Source organism: Homo sapiens, chromosome 8 (assembly GCF_000001405.40).
Source record: "Homo sapiens chromosome 8, GRCh38.p14 Primary Assembly".
Taxonomy (NCBI): Eukaryota; Metazoa; Chordata; class Mammalia; order Primates; family Hominidae; genus Homo; species Homo sapiens.
This window is the reverse complement of record NC_000008.11, coordinates 48,307,644-48,324,600: the sequence shown is the minus strand read 5'-3', so window position 1 is coordinate 48,324,600 and position 16,957 is coordinate 48,307,644. Positions and strand designations below refer to the sequence as shown.

Genomic DNA, 16,957 nt, shown 5'->3' with positions numbered 1-16,957 from the left:
TTCAAAACTTTTGAGAATGTATCCATGGATTACTTTACTTACTCCAGACCTATTTGCTCTGAACAGTCAATGTCAGTAATAAGGAAAGGAGAAGCCATGGGCATCGGCCTGTGCTCTTTCTCTCCTAATCTCTGTGGAGGAGGAGAAGGCTTTTGATGTACGCTCCCAGCATCTCTGTGGTGCAATCCAAACTCCTAGGTATGACTCAGGCACTTACTTCTGGAAGCTCATTTCCTGGGTGGAAGCCTGAAGGCTCAGGGAGTAAGCCTTCCAGACACACTGCTTCACAGACACAACCGATTGGCCTCCCCCTCATAACCGTGACAACCCCAGCATGGAAGATCATCAAATACTTTGTGTTAGGGCTTTCCAGAGAAAAAGAACCGATATGATACACACACACATACACACACACACACACACACACACACACACACACACACACAGAATGGGAGGTGGGGAGGGATTTAGTATAAGGAACTGCTTCATGTGATGTGGGCCTGGCCCTCTGCAATGCCAACATTCCATTTGAGCCTGAAAGCTAGAATCTGCTGTGGAACCAGGAAGAGGTGATATCCCAGGATGAAGGCCTCCAGGCAGGAGGATTCTCTCACGCGTTGGGGAGGTCAGCCTTTTGTTCTATTCAGGCCTTCAACTGGTTATATGAGGCCCTGAACACTGGGAGAGGCGCTTGGCTTTACTCCATCTACTGACTTAGATGTTAATCTCACCCAGAAACATCTTCACAGAAACACCAAAAATAATGTTTGATAAATCTCTGGGCAGTCCATGGCCCAGTCAAGTGGACACGTAAAATTAAACAGCACCTGTGGTACACGTAGAACAGAAGGGCTGCTCTAAGAGGAACTCAGCACAGTCCACATGCATCCCTCTTACCTTTGGTGGAATTGGTTTTCTCAGCCCTTCCACCAACCATCAGGGGAGCCACCAGCCATGGTGGAGCCCAGGCCAAGGCCCAGCAGCAAGTTTCCCTGTAGCCCAAATCTCCACTCGGATGAGCTGGGAATCACAGTGTGCAAACGCGGGTGCTGTCAGCACCATCTGAGGCCCAGTCCCCGCATGCCCAACCGCAGGCTGGGCCATCGCAACCCCCGGGGGTTCCTGTAGCCCAGCATCGAGTCTCCTCTGCAGCCAGCCCCACCTGGAATGCACTCTCCCTCAGGACTCACTCACAGTCAGCCCCACAGGAAATGCATCCACCCACCTGTCCCCTGAAAGTGGCCCTCCACCCTCTGCCCTGTCTCCACTCAGAATCCACAATGGCTGGGGCTTCCAGAGTATTGTTGTCGACCTCCTGGTTTTACAGAAGTCACAGAGGCCTGGAGGGGAAGCACCTTGGCCAAGATCACTCAGAGAGCTCCTGAGACCTGGTCTGATCTACAGCACCACTTCTGCTGACATCGCGTGTGGCTTCTCACCCCGCCCAGCCTTTCCTTCTGTGTGTGGGGACAGCCACGTTCGGTGCCAGAACTGGGGATCTCATTTTCTTTGCGCATTCCCGCTGTGGCCCTGACTCCCACTGAAGCAAGAGCCAGTGTTGCCTGCATCTCCCCACGGCTCGGTAGCAAGTTTTCTGCAGCCTCACCCCTTAATGACAGGAGCACTCCTCAGGCTTCAGGAAGATCATGGATGCTCCCTGCACACTCCCAAACATGCCACCTCACTGAGATCTGGCAAGTGACCACATGCCAGCCAAGAGTCTAAATGTTCTTGCTGAAATCCATATTAATCGGCACTGGCCACAGGGAGACAGACACCAGGCAGAGTGAGTCGTGTGCCCAGGGCTGCAGAGTGGGCACACAGAGTGGAATGCAAACCCAGGTTGGTCCACACCCAAAGCCCTGCCGCCAGGGACCCCCGCCATGGCCCTGTGCAGGCCTAGCAGGCCTGGGCAGCAGAGCACAGGCCGCAGGGCACTCCCCCTCCTGGGGGAGGACAAACAGCCACAGCTGCACCCCAGGTAGCACAAGACCCACAGTAGCCAATCCTTGCAAAGTCCTCACTGAGGCTGCGAGGCCACCTTGGCTTTTTCCATCCAAAAGAGTGAGTCAGGGCCAGACGTGGACGGTACCTGGACTTCCTGGCTCCAGGGCCTAGACGCCTGGCCCACCCAGCCCTCACAGCAGATCCACACCTCTGAGCTCCCAGCTGGAATGCCCCATGCTGATGGATATGGGCTGTTGGTCAGTCCATGTAGTAGGTGAAAGTTCTGGAAACTTCACAGAAAAGTCAGTTCTTTTAAAATTTCCAGTGTTTTTGTTAGTCCCAAAAGGAAGAGCTGTGCATTCTAATCACTTCTGCTCTGCCAGTTCTAAACAGCAGCAGGACTTTCCCTGGGCACTAAAGAATGCCCACCATACAAAGCCTCGGCCAGGGCTAAATTCTTATTAAAATTTAACCCCAAGGGCCAGGCATGATGGCTTATGCCTGTAATCCCAGCACTTTAGGAGGTTAGGGTGGGAGAATTGCTTGAGGCCAGGAGTTTGAGACCAGCCTGGGCAACATAGTGAGACCTCATCTCCACAAAAAAAGCAAAAAATTAGCCGGGCATGGTGGTAGCGCATGCATGTAGTCCTAGCTACTCGGGAGGCTGAGGTGGGAGGATCACTTAAGCCTGGGAGGTTGAGACTGCAGTGAGCCGTGATCACACTGCTGCCCTCCAGCCTCGACAACTGGGCAACAGAGCAATACCCTATCTCAAAAAAAAAAAAAAAATTAACCCCAGATGTTCATGACAACAGAGTAATTTGATATAACCAAATATATCCAAGTCAAAATCATACGGTGACAAAAATCAATCCCATTGAACTTTGGGGTGCACCCCATGATATGTTTCAAAATGCTGCGGAGCACTGCATTTAATTCATTAACATCCTTAAAAGGTACAGATTAGGATAGAGTGAGAGGCAGTTTGAGAGTGCAGCAGAAGAAGGTTGGTTCACAGGCCATGTTTTTGTTCAAAACAGCTCACAGAAATACCCCCAAGTGGGACAAAATGGGCTCAGTGTCATCTGACTTAACTGTAAAGAACACGGTCCAGCCATCACCTATCATTTTGAGAAGAAAAAATGTAGACCTGAAATACATGATTATTGTTAATCATATGGTACTTTTCATACCTATTTTCTTCTGGAGAGATGTGAAATACATATAATCAACCTGAATTGAAAGGTTGATAACTCAGTGTAGAACTACCTTCAAATACAGATAGCAGAATAGTTCAACTAGCAGGGATTCTGCAGCAGCCCATGCCAGTGAGCTAGCACAACCTCATCTCAGCAATAAGGCAGCCCTGCCCCAGAGTCACCCTTTCCTCTTCTCTTACATCCCGTGCTTTGCTGAGAAACCCGCTTCACAAAAGACAAGAGCCCTAATCTGTAGTGTTTGCTCATTTCCATGATGTAAATACTCCCACCACGGCTGATTTCAAGTCACCAATGGTTTAACCACCAGGTGGCAGAGTTCTTGAATATTTAACCTCCCCAGCACCCTTTCCGCCTTGAGCTGTTCTGGTCAGTCCAGCACAGGGCTATGTCTCATGCCACATTCAACCCAAACGTATCCAGAAACTGACCACTTCTCAGTACTGCCTATTACTGCTCAGATTTGACCACCGCAATCTCTCACCTGGATCGTCACAACCTTCTCCTCCTCAGCCTCTGTACAGCCTTTGCCCCTTTAACCTTTCAAAACAGGTGTCAGAGCCTGGCACTCCTTTGCAGAAACCCACCCACCTCCCATGGGTGGCAGGTGAAGTGCTTGCATGACCTCCAAGCTCACCAAGATCTGGGCTGGACCCTCTGACCTAGCTCAGCACTGTCCCTGGTCACTTCTCCAGCCATACACCTCCTCACTGTCCTCTCCATGCATGAGCACACATGTCACCTTCTCAGTGGGACTCCCTGACCATCACACCTGACACTCTTCATCCCCCTTCCTCCTTTATTTTCCCCTTAGCCCGTCTCATCTAATCCACAGCTATATGATTCACTACGTTCATTCACTTTGTGTCTCTTCCTACTAGAAGGCATACTCCAGCCGATTACTTTTGTCTGTTTTGTTCACTGTTAATCTCCTCAGCCTACAGCAATGTCTGGCTTATAGTCAGTGTCCCATGTTTACTGAAGGAATAAACTCCAGGTTTACTTTGAGGATCTGGTTGACAATACTTCTCTTTTTGCCTGCCTTTTCCCATATTGAGACCTCCCCAATTTTCTGAACCTCACCAGTGCACAGTACTCCAGCAGCTTGCGCCAGGCCGAGGCCCTAGCTCACATCTGCCTTCGCACTGTGAGATCCTCCCTGCACTGGTTCACTTAGTACCATCTTAGCTGCAGCCCAAACACTCGCTATAGAGAAAACCTTTGAATCCTGTCATCCAGGGAATTCTTTCAAGTAGAAACAGAAAAGATGAAATCTGTCCAAATGTGCCCATAGTGGAAGGAATTCTCATTCACCCAGGGGCATTCTATTTCTAGCTAGGCCAGTATAAGAAAAAGACCACTTTCCCCTTAGCAAAGAGGCTTACTCACAAGGGAAATAGCCATACTGTCCTCTATATGATGCTGACAGGCTTTTCCCCATCAGAAAAGCCTGAGCTCAGAAACAGGAAATCGACAGGCCTCCAAGCCCAGCCACAGGAGAGTCTCCCTCAGTAACAAGTGCTCTTGAACTCACTGGTACAAACAAAAAGTAGAACCTGCTATTTTATTGTTACCCTCTTTCTTCTAGGCATCCTAGAGTGTTCTGCCCCTTCTAACTACAGCTGGATTATAGAAAATGGGCTATTTTGGGCTGTCATCCCTCCTACACAAATTATCATTTCTGTTGTGAACTGAACTGCAGATGAGTATGTCCAGCTACAATGGGAATGAATATTAAAACTGCGGAACAGTGCAAAAAGAAAATGCACAATTTAATCAAGAACTATAAAACCATTATAAGAAACATAAATTCAGGCCCTGGCTGATGCCAATCACGCATCAACCTAGGAGGTGTCATCTTTGCCCCAAAGGAACACGTTTCCAAATACTCAGTCCTTTTAGATGTTACTCCATCTGAGGCTTTTCTGTTGGGCCATGTGCCTCTGGAAGTTGTGTAGCATTCGTTATGGATTCAAAGGTTTCCCTGCTCCTTTAGCTCCAGTCTTGCCCTAGTTTCCCCCATTTGGAACTAGTGTGGTGCCCCAACTAGGAGGCAGGGTGAATACAGCTCCTCTGCGGCCACCACCTGGGGCCTCCCTGATCCCACGTCAAAAAGGAGCTCTTGTGCCTGTTGCTGGCCTCCTCACTCTGTCTCCTTTCCTGCAAAGTGGAAACAGGCAGGTCAACGTCGTGGTCATCTGTGGGGTTGCGGCTGGCTGGGCACTCAGCGCAGAGCACAGGCGGGCAGATGGTACCCTAGGCGTGGGCGGGGACGGAGGGCGCGGTGAGTCTGTAGGCCATAGGTCCCGTTCCGTGCGCCCTTCCCGGCCCAGCATAGTCCGAATAACAGGAACCTGAACGCGAGCTCCCTTTGACTGGTCTGTTCACTTTCACTTTGAACCTTGCAAAGAATCACTGGAAGTGCTTCTAGCCCCACGCACTCGCGGGAAGTCCTCTTCGCGGTTGTCGCCGCGAGGGCTCTTCCTGCACTGAAATGTCTGGCCGGCTTCTCAGCTCCCAGCAAGTGGCAGTTTGTGGAACAGATTGAAGGCAGTGACATCTAGTGGCCCTAGATGGTATTTAACTTAATAAATACACATTTTTAATGTGTTGGAAGCAGGGTAAGAAATTCAGAGCATGCTACATGTAGCCTCAACAAACTAGAGGTTTCCGACAAGTATTAAGAAAAAGGATCGGATAGGCCCCACCTGCACCTTGCTTTTCTTGCTTTTGTCTTTCATGCTGGAGGAGCTGGTTTGGTCTGGTATTTTTCTTCAACTCTTGGCCTGCTCAAATAGCTTTGCCCGGGGCAGAGAACCTTCCGCTGGAGCAGGTCGGAGAGGTGAGAGTCAGCGCGCAGGCATGGGCAGGTCGAAGATAACCACACAGGAAGGAATCGGCTGCTCATAAAGCTAGTGTAGGGGATGATTAGCAATCAGTCAGCGGACTGGGGGTGCTTCATTCTTCTCAGATGACAAGCACTGCGTTTTGTAATTTAGGGGACTCCTCCCTGTACTGGCCAGCTTGCCTAAGTGCAGCTGCCAGGAATCTGGCAGAGATAACAAGGGAGGGTGTACCTTCAGCCTCCACAAAGTCACAATATTGAATAAAAGTGCAGAAATAGAATTGGATCCTTAAGTACAAGGCTTCATGTAGTCTACATTTCCAAAGAGATTTATGACTTCGGTGTGCCAGAAAGTTTAGATACATTTGCTCAGTTAACACATGGAGAATTCTTGATATTTCTCCATATGGGTAAGAATATTCATCACATCATTTATAATCCAAACATAGAAAGTCAAGAAATGTAGAAAACTCATTTTTTTAACTACCAACTCACTTATGTGACTTATGCATAGTTGGCATATTAAAATCAGAGTGAAAATTATGCAGTGAATTGTAGAATTCCTGCACCTATCCACAACAAAGTAATGTCCCAGGGAAACCTTTTATGTGTGTCAGTGAACTGACCTATTTATGATTGGATATGAATGTGTTCTGATGCTGAGTTTTCTCCATTTCTGTTTTGAGGGCTGATTATCTTAAAGAAGAAAAGAGTCACTGTGGAATGCCAAGCAAATTCCCATACTCCTTAACGACCGGCAGCATCCTACAACCAGTAACCGAGAATTATTTTTTAAATCATTCTAAAACTTACTGTGAGTCTATGAGTCTTAGTTACAAGCCTACCAGCAATGAGCACATCAAACTATTTCATAATAAAATAGTAAGAACCTGTCTCTATGTAAGAGAGAAAAAACAAACAAACAAAAAAAACTCAGAAAAGCCTGCCTGACTAAAGACAGGACCAATTGAGTTTGCCTCTGGATCCCTCTCCGGAGGTTATGGTTGCCTAGAGAGAACAAAGTCTGTAAGGCCTTCGAGACCAATGTCTCTTGGATCTCGCCTCTTCCCACCCCACCCCCCACAGTCACCCTGGTGCTGAGAACAAACCCGGGGTCAGGCTCATGGCCCAGGCGGGGTGGGTGCCTGTGCACTGCCACCCAATGAGCGGCGGGGCATGCGGCACACATGCTGTGCCAGCCCTAGGAGCCACGTGTCCAGGATGAGAAGCATGGCAGCCAGGCCCGAGGACAGAGCAGCCCGACGAAGAGGCACACAGAGCTTTCCTCATGAAGCCGTTACCACATTGACTAAAGTAATTAAGAAATACCTTTATTTAACACAGAAAGTGTGCTCTGACCCTGTGCTGAGCTCAGTTCTGGGGTTAGCAGAGACAAGAATAGTACAGGTTACAGAGGGATGCTTTGGCCGGGGAGTCACACTGGGGTCACAGTGACTGTCAGCAGGGCACTCCCCACTGCCTGTGTCCTCTGAGTGAGCCTCAGCTCCCTGGTCCAGCACACCCTTTGCCCGTGGACAGCTGCTAGCACAGACCCACACTGTCCTGAGGAGAACTGGACACCCTTACTTTGCTTAGAAGAGTTTTATTTGTACAGAGCATCCCACTGCACTCAGCCCTTGGCCTCTGAAAGACCTCCCAGGGCTGGGACATATCTGCGTGTTCAATTCCCCTTGATGCAAAAAGAGTCTGAGCTATTCTCCTTGACACACACAAGCACACATTTACAGACACAGTCCTGGAACATCAATTCGGAAATGACTCTAAAGAAAGATTTGCCACTCAATGAATCACCAGCATCAATCCCTGCCATACCCTGGTTTTCCTGGGAGGTCTTCCTTATAAATGCTGGCCCAGGCCTGGTCCTGCTTAGCTAATGAGATCATCTCCCAGGGCAGAGCTGGATCCTCCCCCAGGCTCCAACTCCAGACATTGAGAGCTCCTCCCTGCTCCCCACCCACATCCTCTTTGAATCCAGTTCTGCTCTTGCTGTTCCCTCAGCCTGGAACATCCCTTCCCTTTCCCTCCACCAGTGAACTCCAGCCAACTGGGGACCTTCCACACACTGCACCATTTCACACCTCACACCTGTGCTTGTCCTGTGGCCTCTGGCCGCTGTATCTGTTGTCCAAATGTTGTAGGGTTCCTGAAGGCAGGGATGGACACTGTTCGGTAGAGTTCTGCCTTCATTTAGAGTTGACCCAAGGAGCTACTCAATCCCATCAACTCCACTGTCTTCTTTTGGAAAAAGCCAGAGAGACTAAGCTGTTTCAATCCACCCTAGCACACGCCAAACCCCCTTTTGAACAGGAAGAGGGAAAGAAAAACTTCCACCTTCCTAGCATCCAATGTATCAGAAATGTGCTGACCTAAGCAGAGGCCTTTCTGAATGACAAATTTCATGTAATTCCACAAAATGTCCACTCTGCACAAGCCACTGGACGGAGTGTCATGTGGTCTGGATCTGGACACACACTGGGTGCTGTCTACCCAAAGCAAGCAGGGACTTTGCACACCATGCCAAGCCCCCGCCTGCAGGGGAGTGATGCAAGGTTGCGGGCGCTGCACACTTTCCTGCAGCCTGAGGTGTGATAGTGTGCCTGCTGGGTCTCAGGCCCTGCCTTAGCCTTGAAGGATACAGCAGAGAATGGAACAACAGCCCCAACTCATGTTGCTTATATTCTTGTTGGGGAGACTGACAATAAGCAGTGCACAGATTAAAAACAGACTATAGGCTGGGTGCGGTGGCTCATGCCTGTAATCCCAGCACTTTGGGAGGCTGAGGCGAGTGGATCGCCTGGGGTTAAGAGTTCAAGACCAGCCTGGCCAACATGGTGAAACCCCGTCTCTACTAAAAATACAAAAAATTAGTCGGGCGTGGTGGCGCAGGCTTGTAATCCCAGCCACTCAGGAGACTGAGAGAGGACAATTGCTTGGACCTGGGAGATGGAGGTTGCAGTGAGCTGAGTGAGATCGCGCCACAGCACTCTAGCCTGGGGGATAGAGTGAGACTTCATCTCAAAAAAAAAAAAAAGACTATAATTTCAGATAGGCACACACTCTGATGAGAAAGAGTGCAGGGAAGGGCACTGGCTGTGCCTGGAGGCAGAGGCTGTGGCTAGGGGTCAGGGGCATGCTCCCTGCCCACCTGACATCTGGCAAGTCACCTGAGTGAAATGCAGGAGTGAGCCTGCAGCAAGGGCAATTCCAAGCACAGGAGACAGCCATGCAACGTCCCAACTCTGTGAGTTGGGGAAACAGCAAAAAGGCATGTGCCTGAAGCAGAGGAGCCAGGGAGGGGGCATGCAGTGGGGTTCCCTGCCAGTCCCTCCTCCCTGCCCCAAGACTTCATCGCTCAGCTGGCCACACCCTTCCTTTCACTGAGCCTAGTCTGGGACGTCTCCTGCTTTGGAACTCTAGGGGTCTCATCACTTTGAGCTTCCAATCCTTTTCTGCAAAACTGATGTAAAACCATTTCTTCTAAGTGGCTGAGCTGAGTGTTGCAAAAGCTTAACATCCACACAAAAGTCTGTCAAGCATTTTGTTCTTCCTGACCATTCAGCCTGAAGTTGCACTACCACAGCTAGCATCGTTAGGAAACAGAAGCTGAACTGCCTTCCTGCTCCACCTGCCCGGCTCTGTGAGGTTGCAGAGGAAACCTGTTGCATCTCAGCCCTTCTAGGAGGTTTACACGGCACTTTGGGATCCTTCTGGACTTGACGTGTTATGTAAATTTAAGTGCATTATCATTAATCTCCACAGAGAGTTATCCTTCTTTTCAGGCGCCAGATTAGTTTAATGATGCAGCTGCTGCCAGACTGGGAAAGAAACCATGAATGTAAGGAAAACCACAGCCCAAGGAGAAAGGAAAATTCTCCTTAGCAGACCCCAGGCTGGCTGATGGAGCCCCAGGGAGTTGTGTTTCTGGGGCATCCCCAAGCCAAGGTCACCTTTCACTCAATAGGAAAGAAACAGAGACTTCTTAAGTGCCCAGATCCCTCGGAATTTTTTCATATCTAAAATGCAACATGGGGGCTGGGCACGGTAGCTCATGCCTGTAATCCCAGCACTTTGGGAGGCTGAGGTGGGTGAATCACTTGAGTCAGGAGTTCGAGACCAACATGGTGAAACAACCTCTCTACTGAAAAAAAAAATTAGCCAGGTGTGGTGGCGCACACCTGTAGTCCCAGCTACTCAGGAGGCTGAGGCAGGAGAATCACTTGAACCTGGCAGGCAGAGGTTACAGTAAGCTGAGATTGCGCCACTACACTCCAGCCTCGGCAACAGAGAGAGACTCCATCTCAAAAATAAAATAAAATAAAATGCAACTTGGGTAATTAGGTTATCACTAAGATTACACTAAGATCACTAAGATTATCTTAAGAGCCAGCTTAAGATAGCTCTTAAGCACTATCTTACTTTCTGGATTTTGTTTAGAAGTCCACTTAGGTTGGGATGAATGTATATATATGCATGTATATATTTAATTCCTCAAGTCCTAATATCCATCTAGATGATTTTGTAGCCTGGTACTACTTCTATCTCCCATCCACTCCCACCTCATCTACTCTGTACATACACATATACACACACACATATGCATACACGTGCATGTGTGCACACACATACATGCACACGTGTGCAGCACATACAGGTACATGTGCATATGTGCACTTGCATGCATGTGCATAGCACACATATGCATCCACACACATTCACAGATGCACACACGTATGCTCATGCACACGTGCACACACATCTCCACCAGTAGGCACACTAAACATTGCCTAGGCAGAGTCCTGTATTCACTGGCTCTTTTTCATCCCTTTCCTTCCCCACCTAAATTTATCAGTCTCGTTCTCCCGGGCCTTTCTAGGCTAGGGTAATAGGATAAATTAATCCATGATAAAATGCTAATAATCTTATTTGTTTTGTATTCCAAATAAATTGAAAATCTGTGTTAATAGGGTCCTTGAAAGCCTGAACTTAAAGGTTTAAGTAAAATGGGAATTTCAGGCCCAAAAAGAGGCATTTGGGAGCAGGGTGTCCTGAGACGGTCTGCAGGTCCCACTCACGCAGTGGAGGTGGCAAGAGGAGGGCCTGTGTCTGAGCCTTGCCCAGTCTGTGCCCCATAAAAATTAATCTACTCAACTTCTAGGGTGGGGAATGTGTGGAAATAAAATGAAGCGGGAATCTTTTGGGCCTTTACTCCACCCAGGCTGGCACCCCGAGGGAGCGTGCGTGCTCAGCCTCCCAGTAATCCAGCTTTAGAGGGAAAAAGAAGGCTTTTCTCAGTGGAAAAACCTACCTGTGGCCGTAATGATTTAGTAGATGCCAGTCTAACCTGAAATAATAAATACCATTATGATGTCACTGTCTCACTGCTCATTTTTAGAGACTCTGGACCTTTCTTCCAAAAACACGAGCTTATGAATAGGACTCTGTGGTGCCTGACGTGTCGTTCATGGGTCAGCACAGGCGTGGTAGCTGGGCTGCAGGACAGGCTTAGGAGACCCTCCCAGCATGGATGGCGGTAGCTCGTGGGCAATCTTGCCCCTGAACTAACCCAGCTCAGACTTCAAGTGCCAGATTGATCTGAAACTCAGTCTCGCCTCAGCTAGCTGCAGAACAGCCTCCAGAGCCTGCCTGGACACAGTCTAGAAGGAAAAGTTCCCTCTGTCCCTGACTGCCTGGCACACCTTAAAATCATTTCATTTTGCTTTCACCTCTCTTTTTCTGAAAGTCAAAACGTTACATTCATGTGTTTCATGGAAAACAGCTAAGGATAAAATACAAAAGCCACACTTCTGTTACACAATTTCCACTTTCAAAGAAACATATATTTTGGATCACAAGAACAGGAGGAGTGAAAAATGCTGGAGAGAGAGGTGAAGAGAAAACATCTAATCGCAAATAACATTACCTAAGTGTATGTCCTTTGGGTACTACTAATAAGCTAATAGAGTACTACTGCTAGTATTGGATCTACTACTTAGATCATTAGTATTTCTTTTTCTGTGTCCAGTTTATCTTACTTAACATAATGTCCTCCAGGATCATCCATGAGGATTTTCCTTTGCTACAGCTGAGTAATATTCCACTGTGTATATATACCACATTTTCTTTATCCATGCATCCACTGACAAACATTTAGGTTGTTTCCATATCTTTGCTATTGTGAATAGTGCTGTAATGAACATGGGAGTAAAGATATCTCTTCCACATACAGATTTCATTTCCTTTGGATATAAACCCAAAAGTGGGATTGCCAGGTCATTTGGTAGTTCCATGTTTAATCTTTGAGGAAACTCCATATCATTTTCCATAATGGATGTAACAATTAACATTTCGCCAGCACTTATTATCTCTTGTCTTTATCTCATTGTGGGTTTGATTTGCATTTTCCTCACCATTAGTGTTGCCAAGCACCTTTTCATATATCTGTTGGACATTTGTATGTTTCTTTGGAGAGATGTCTATTCAGGTCTTTTGCCTATTTTTAATCAAATTATCTGGTTTTCAGCTATTGAGTAGTATGAGTTTCTTATATATTTTAGATGTTAACTGTTTATCAAATACATGGTTGCAAACAACATTTTCTTCTATTTTGTAAGTTATCTTTTCATTTTGTTGGTTGTTTGCTATGCAGAAGCGTTTATTTTGATGTAATTCCATTTGCCGATTTTTGTTCTTTGTAATCTGTGCTTTTGTTGTCACATTCAAAAAACTCATTGCCAAGACCAATGTCAAGGACATTTTTCCTATGTTTTCTTCTAGGAGTTTTATGTTTCAGGTCTTATGTTTAAGTCTTTTAATCCACTTTGAGTTATTTTTACGTGTGATGCAGGATAAGGGTCTAATTTCATTCTTCTGCATATGGATATCCAGTTTTCCCAACACCATTTATTGAAGAGAATATCCTTTCCCCATTGTGTCTTCATGGTGCCCTTGTCAAAGCCATGTAATGGCTGTAGATTTATTTCTGGACTCTATTCTGTTCCGTTGTTCTATGTGTCTGTTTTTATGCCAGTACCATACTGTTTTGATTACTATAGCTTTGTAATATAGTTTGACCGTAGGACGTGTGATGCTCCCAGCCTTGTTCTTCTTACTCAAAATTGCTTTGGCTATTCAGAGTCTTTTGAGGTTTCAGAAAAATTTTAGAATGTTTTTTCCTATTTCTGTGAAATATGTTATTGAAATTTTGATAGGAATTTCATTAAATCTATAGATTATTGTGGGTAGTATGGACATTTCAACATTAATGCTTCTTTTCCATGAATATATGCTATCTTTTCATTTATTTGTGACTTCTTCAATTTATTTCATTAATGTCTTATAGTTTTTCAGTGTACAGATCTTTCATCTCCTTGGTTAAATGTATTTCTAAGTACTTTCTTCTTTTTGATGTTATTGTAAATAAGATTGTTTTCTAAATGTCTTTTTGATTAGTCACTTTTAGTGTATAGAAATGCAACTGATTTTTGGACATTGCTTTGTATTGTATAACTTTACTGAATCTGCTTATTAGTTCTAACAGTTTTTTGATAGAGACTTTAGGATGTTTCTATGGGTGAGATCATGTCATCTGCAAACAGAGACAGTGTAGCTTACTCCTTTTCAGTTTGGATGTCTTTTATTTCTTTTTCTTAGCTAATTGCTCTAGCTAGAATTTCTGGTACTATCTTAAAAACAAGTGGTGAGGGTGGGTATCCTTGCTCCTGATCTTACAGGAAAAGCTTCAGGAAATGGTATTGCATATGTTGAACCATTCTTGCATCCCAGGGATAAATCCCACTTCTTCATGGTGTATGATTCCGGTAATGTGCTATTGAATTCTGTTAGCTAGTATTTTGTGGAGAATTTTTGCATCTATGTTCACCAGGAATATTGGCCTGTAGTTTTCTTTTCTCATTGTGTCCTTATCTGTCTTTGGTATCAGGGAAATACCGGCTTCATTAAATGAGTCTAAAGATGTTCCCTCCTCTTCCATTTTTTGGGAGATTTTGGGAATTGGTATTAGTTCTTCTTTAAATGTTTGGTAGAATTCACCAGTGGTGCCACCTAGTCCTGAGCTTTTCTTGGTTGAAAGGTTTTTGATTACTAATTCAGTCTCCTTACTAGTTATAGGTTTGTTCAGATTCTCTATTTCTTCCTGGTTCAGTCTTGGTAGCTTGTCTGTTTCTAGGAATTTATCCATTTCTTTTGGGCTTCTCCATTTGCTGGAGTATAATTATTTATCGTAGTGTCTCATAGTCCTTTGTATTTCTTTCTATAGTATCAACTGTAATGTCTTCTCTTTAATTTATTATTTTATTTGAGCCCTCTCTCTTTTTTTATTTGAGTCATCTCTCTTTTTTCTCTTAGTCTAGCTAAAGGTCTGTCAATTTAGTTGATCCTTTCAAGAAACATTAACTCTTAGTTTTGTTGATCTTTTCTTTTTTTAACTTTTAAGTTCAGGGGTACATGTGCAGGATGTGCAGGTTTGTTACACTGGTTTTCAGTTGTCTTTCTTGTCTCTCTTTCATTTACTTCTGCTTTAGTCTTTATTACTACCCTCCTTCTAAGTTTGGGTTTAGTTAATCCTTCTTTTTCTAATTTCTTGAGGTGTAAAGTTAAGTTGTTTAATTGAGATCTTTCTCTTTTATTCGTGCAGGCATTTATCACTATAAACTTCCCTCTTAGAACTGCTTCTGCTGTATCCCGCGAGTTTTGGTGCGTTGTATTTCCATTGTTCAAGTGAATGTGTCTCCCACCACGTCCCTTGGTAGACAGTGCTGCTCCCAGACCCCAGCTGAGAGGAGATGGAACTGCGTCACTGGCTGCTTCACCATCCACAGCCTGGACTGAGCTGGGTGGGCCTGCTACTGGAAGTACAGGTGGGCATGGCTCTTCCCACATCCCTGGCTTGGCAGATGGTGCCAGTTGCAGGATCAAGGTAAGTTTACAGGGAGACAGGACTGTTCCCAAGTGTGTGGCTGGGACCACCATCAGCAAGCTGCCACCTGGTTCTGTCTTCCTAAAATGGCTTTGCTCAGTCTTGGACTCCACTGGGGTTTTGCAATTCCCATCTAGATCCCAAAGTTCCCACAGAGGCACTTTTGACTGTGGGCGGCTGCTGTGGGGGGATACACATGGGGAGCACTGGTCCTCCATCCTGCTGATGTCACTCCTCTCCAATGGTTCATTCTCAGCTCTGCCCACCATTGAGCAGCCCAGGCATCATGGAGCCTCAGTACTCTTCCTTCGGGCCACATGGCGCACTCCTTGGCTAGACCATTCGTCAACCGCACCCGAGGTTTTCTAAAGTTCCTAGATTGAGACCAGACCTTCTCAAGGATCTTCCAATCTTATCTGCCCCCATTTCAGGGGCTCTCTTGCATAAATCAAGTAATAAATAATGTGCAACCAGCTGCCCTCCTTCACCAATTTGCATGTGCCTCAGAAGTGCCACACCATACACTTGCAGTTGAATCAAAGGGGTATTTAAAGTATTCCTTTAAAAACTAGGCATGGCCAGGCACAGTGGCTTACGCCTGTAATCCCAGCACTTTGGGAGGCCGAGGCAGGCAGATCACGAGGTCAGGAGATTGACACCATCCTGGCTAACACGGTGAAACCCCATCTCTACTAAAACACAAAAAATTAGCCTAGCATGGTGGCAGGCGCCTGTCGTCCCAACTACTCGGGAGGCTGAGTCAGGAGAATGGCGTGAACCCGGGAGGCAGAGCTTGCAGTGAGCCGAGATCACGCCACTGCACTCCAGCCTGGGTGACAAAGCGAGACACTGTCTCAAAAAAAAAAAAAAACTAGGCATTAAGTCTTTGTTTAGTAAAATAACCCTATAGTCATAGCATTGTTTGGACGGGAAAATTAGATTTGACTTACATCACTTCCTCTTACAAAACTTCTTCCAAGAGCACAGACTGCCTTAAAGCCCGACTGTATTTGAAAAACAGCCTTTTTCTTTTCCTCACCACTCTTATTCTTCTACCATTTAAGTTCTCTGATATGTTTCTAAGCAAGATACCTATTCCAAGAAACTTTTTTAAAAATTAAAAATTAAAGCTAGTGATGAAATGAAAAACACTCCAGTACAGGGATCACTTTTTCAAATCCACCAAGTCATGTCACTGTGAAATAGAAGTAAAAAAAAATCAGGGCCAGGAGCAGTGGCTCACACTTATAATCCCAGCACTTTCGGAGGCCAAGGCAGGCAGATCACTTGAGGTCAGGAGTTTGAGATCAGCCTGGTCAACATGATGAAACCCCATCTCTACTAAAAATACAAAAAGTTAGCCAGGCATGGTGATGCACACCTGTAATCCTGGCTACTCGGGAGGCTGAGGCACAAGAATCGCTTGAACCTGGGAGGTGGAGGTTGCAGTGAGCCAAGATCACACCACTGCACTCCAGCCTAGGTGACAGAGTGAGACTCTGTCTCCAAAAAAAAAAAAAAAAGAAGTAAAAACCCATTTGAAGGTGGAACAACATGACTGTCAATACATGCAACTCCAAAGTTTGAAAATAAACTTCAAGTTACATGCTTGCTTCAGCAGCACATACACTAAAACTGGAATGCTGGAGAGATCAGCATGGCTTCTGTGCAAGGATGACACGCAAATTCATGAAGAGCTCCATATTAAAATAAAATAATAATAATAAAACAACATTCAAATTACAACAGACATTATTAAATATTTTTCATTATTGCCATCTTATCACTAATAGTTTTCTATTTGGTTTTCTACCATGTGACAATCCTTAAAATGCAATTTTGAATTATTCTTAAATTTCTTTCCTTTATTTTAAAGAATGTTTTGTGCTTCCACCCAAAGGCAAAATGAGCAAGAGGAGCTTTATTTTATAAACAAACAGGAGGCTTGGAGCTCATCAAGTACTGATGCTAAGACTTGTTCAGGGAAATTGG

At 45.8% G+C, this 16,957-nt stretch overlaps 1 long non-coding RNA gene and 2 pseudogenes across 2 annotated transcripts, besides 2 other annotated features; 2 read left to right on the top strand and 1 right to left on the bottom strand.

The window, feature by feature from the left end:
- Positions 602–1,110: an enhancer, noted in NCBI's record as "H3K27ac-H3K4me1 hESC enhancer chr8:49236051-49236559 (GRCh37/hg19 assembly coordinates)". NCBI's record gives its function as "activates a minimal SCP1, AML or CMV promoter by ChIP-STARR-seq in naive H9 embryonic stem cells {active_cell/tissue: H9 hESC(naive)}" and the evidence as "EXISTENCE:reporter gene assay evidence [ECO:0000049][PMID:30033119]".
- Positions 5,389–5,907: an enhancer, noted in NCBI's record as "H3K4me1 hESC enhancer chr8:49231254-49231772 (GRCh37/hg19 assembly coordinates)". NCBI's record gives its function as "activates a minimal SCP1, AML or CMV promoter by ChIP-STARR-seq in primed H9 embryonic stem cells {active_cell/tissue: H9 hESC(primed)}" and the evidence as "EXISTENCE:reporter gene assay evidence [ECO:0000049][PMID:30033119]".
- RNA5SP531 (RNA, 5S ribosomal pseudogene 531) lies at positions 7,831–7,932 on the bottom strand (annotated as a pseudogene).
- LOC105375820 (uncharacterized) lies at positions 11,419–15,312 on the top strand. Of its 2 annotated transcripts, none has more exons than XR_928852.3 (3): positions 11,419–11,956; positions 14,684–14,965; positions 15,222–15,312. It is a non-coding gene; the product is annotated as an uncharacterized LOC105375820 (long non-coding RNA). The 2 variants fall into 2 exon arrangements; XR_007060908.1 differs by having other exon boundaries at positions 11,849–11,915.
- Positions 16,571–16,674, top strand: RNU6-295P (RNA, U6 small nuclear 295, pseudogene; annotated as a pseudogene).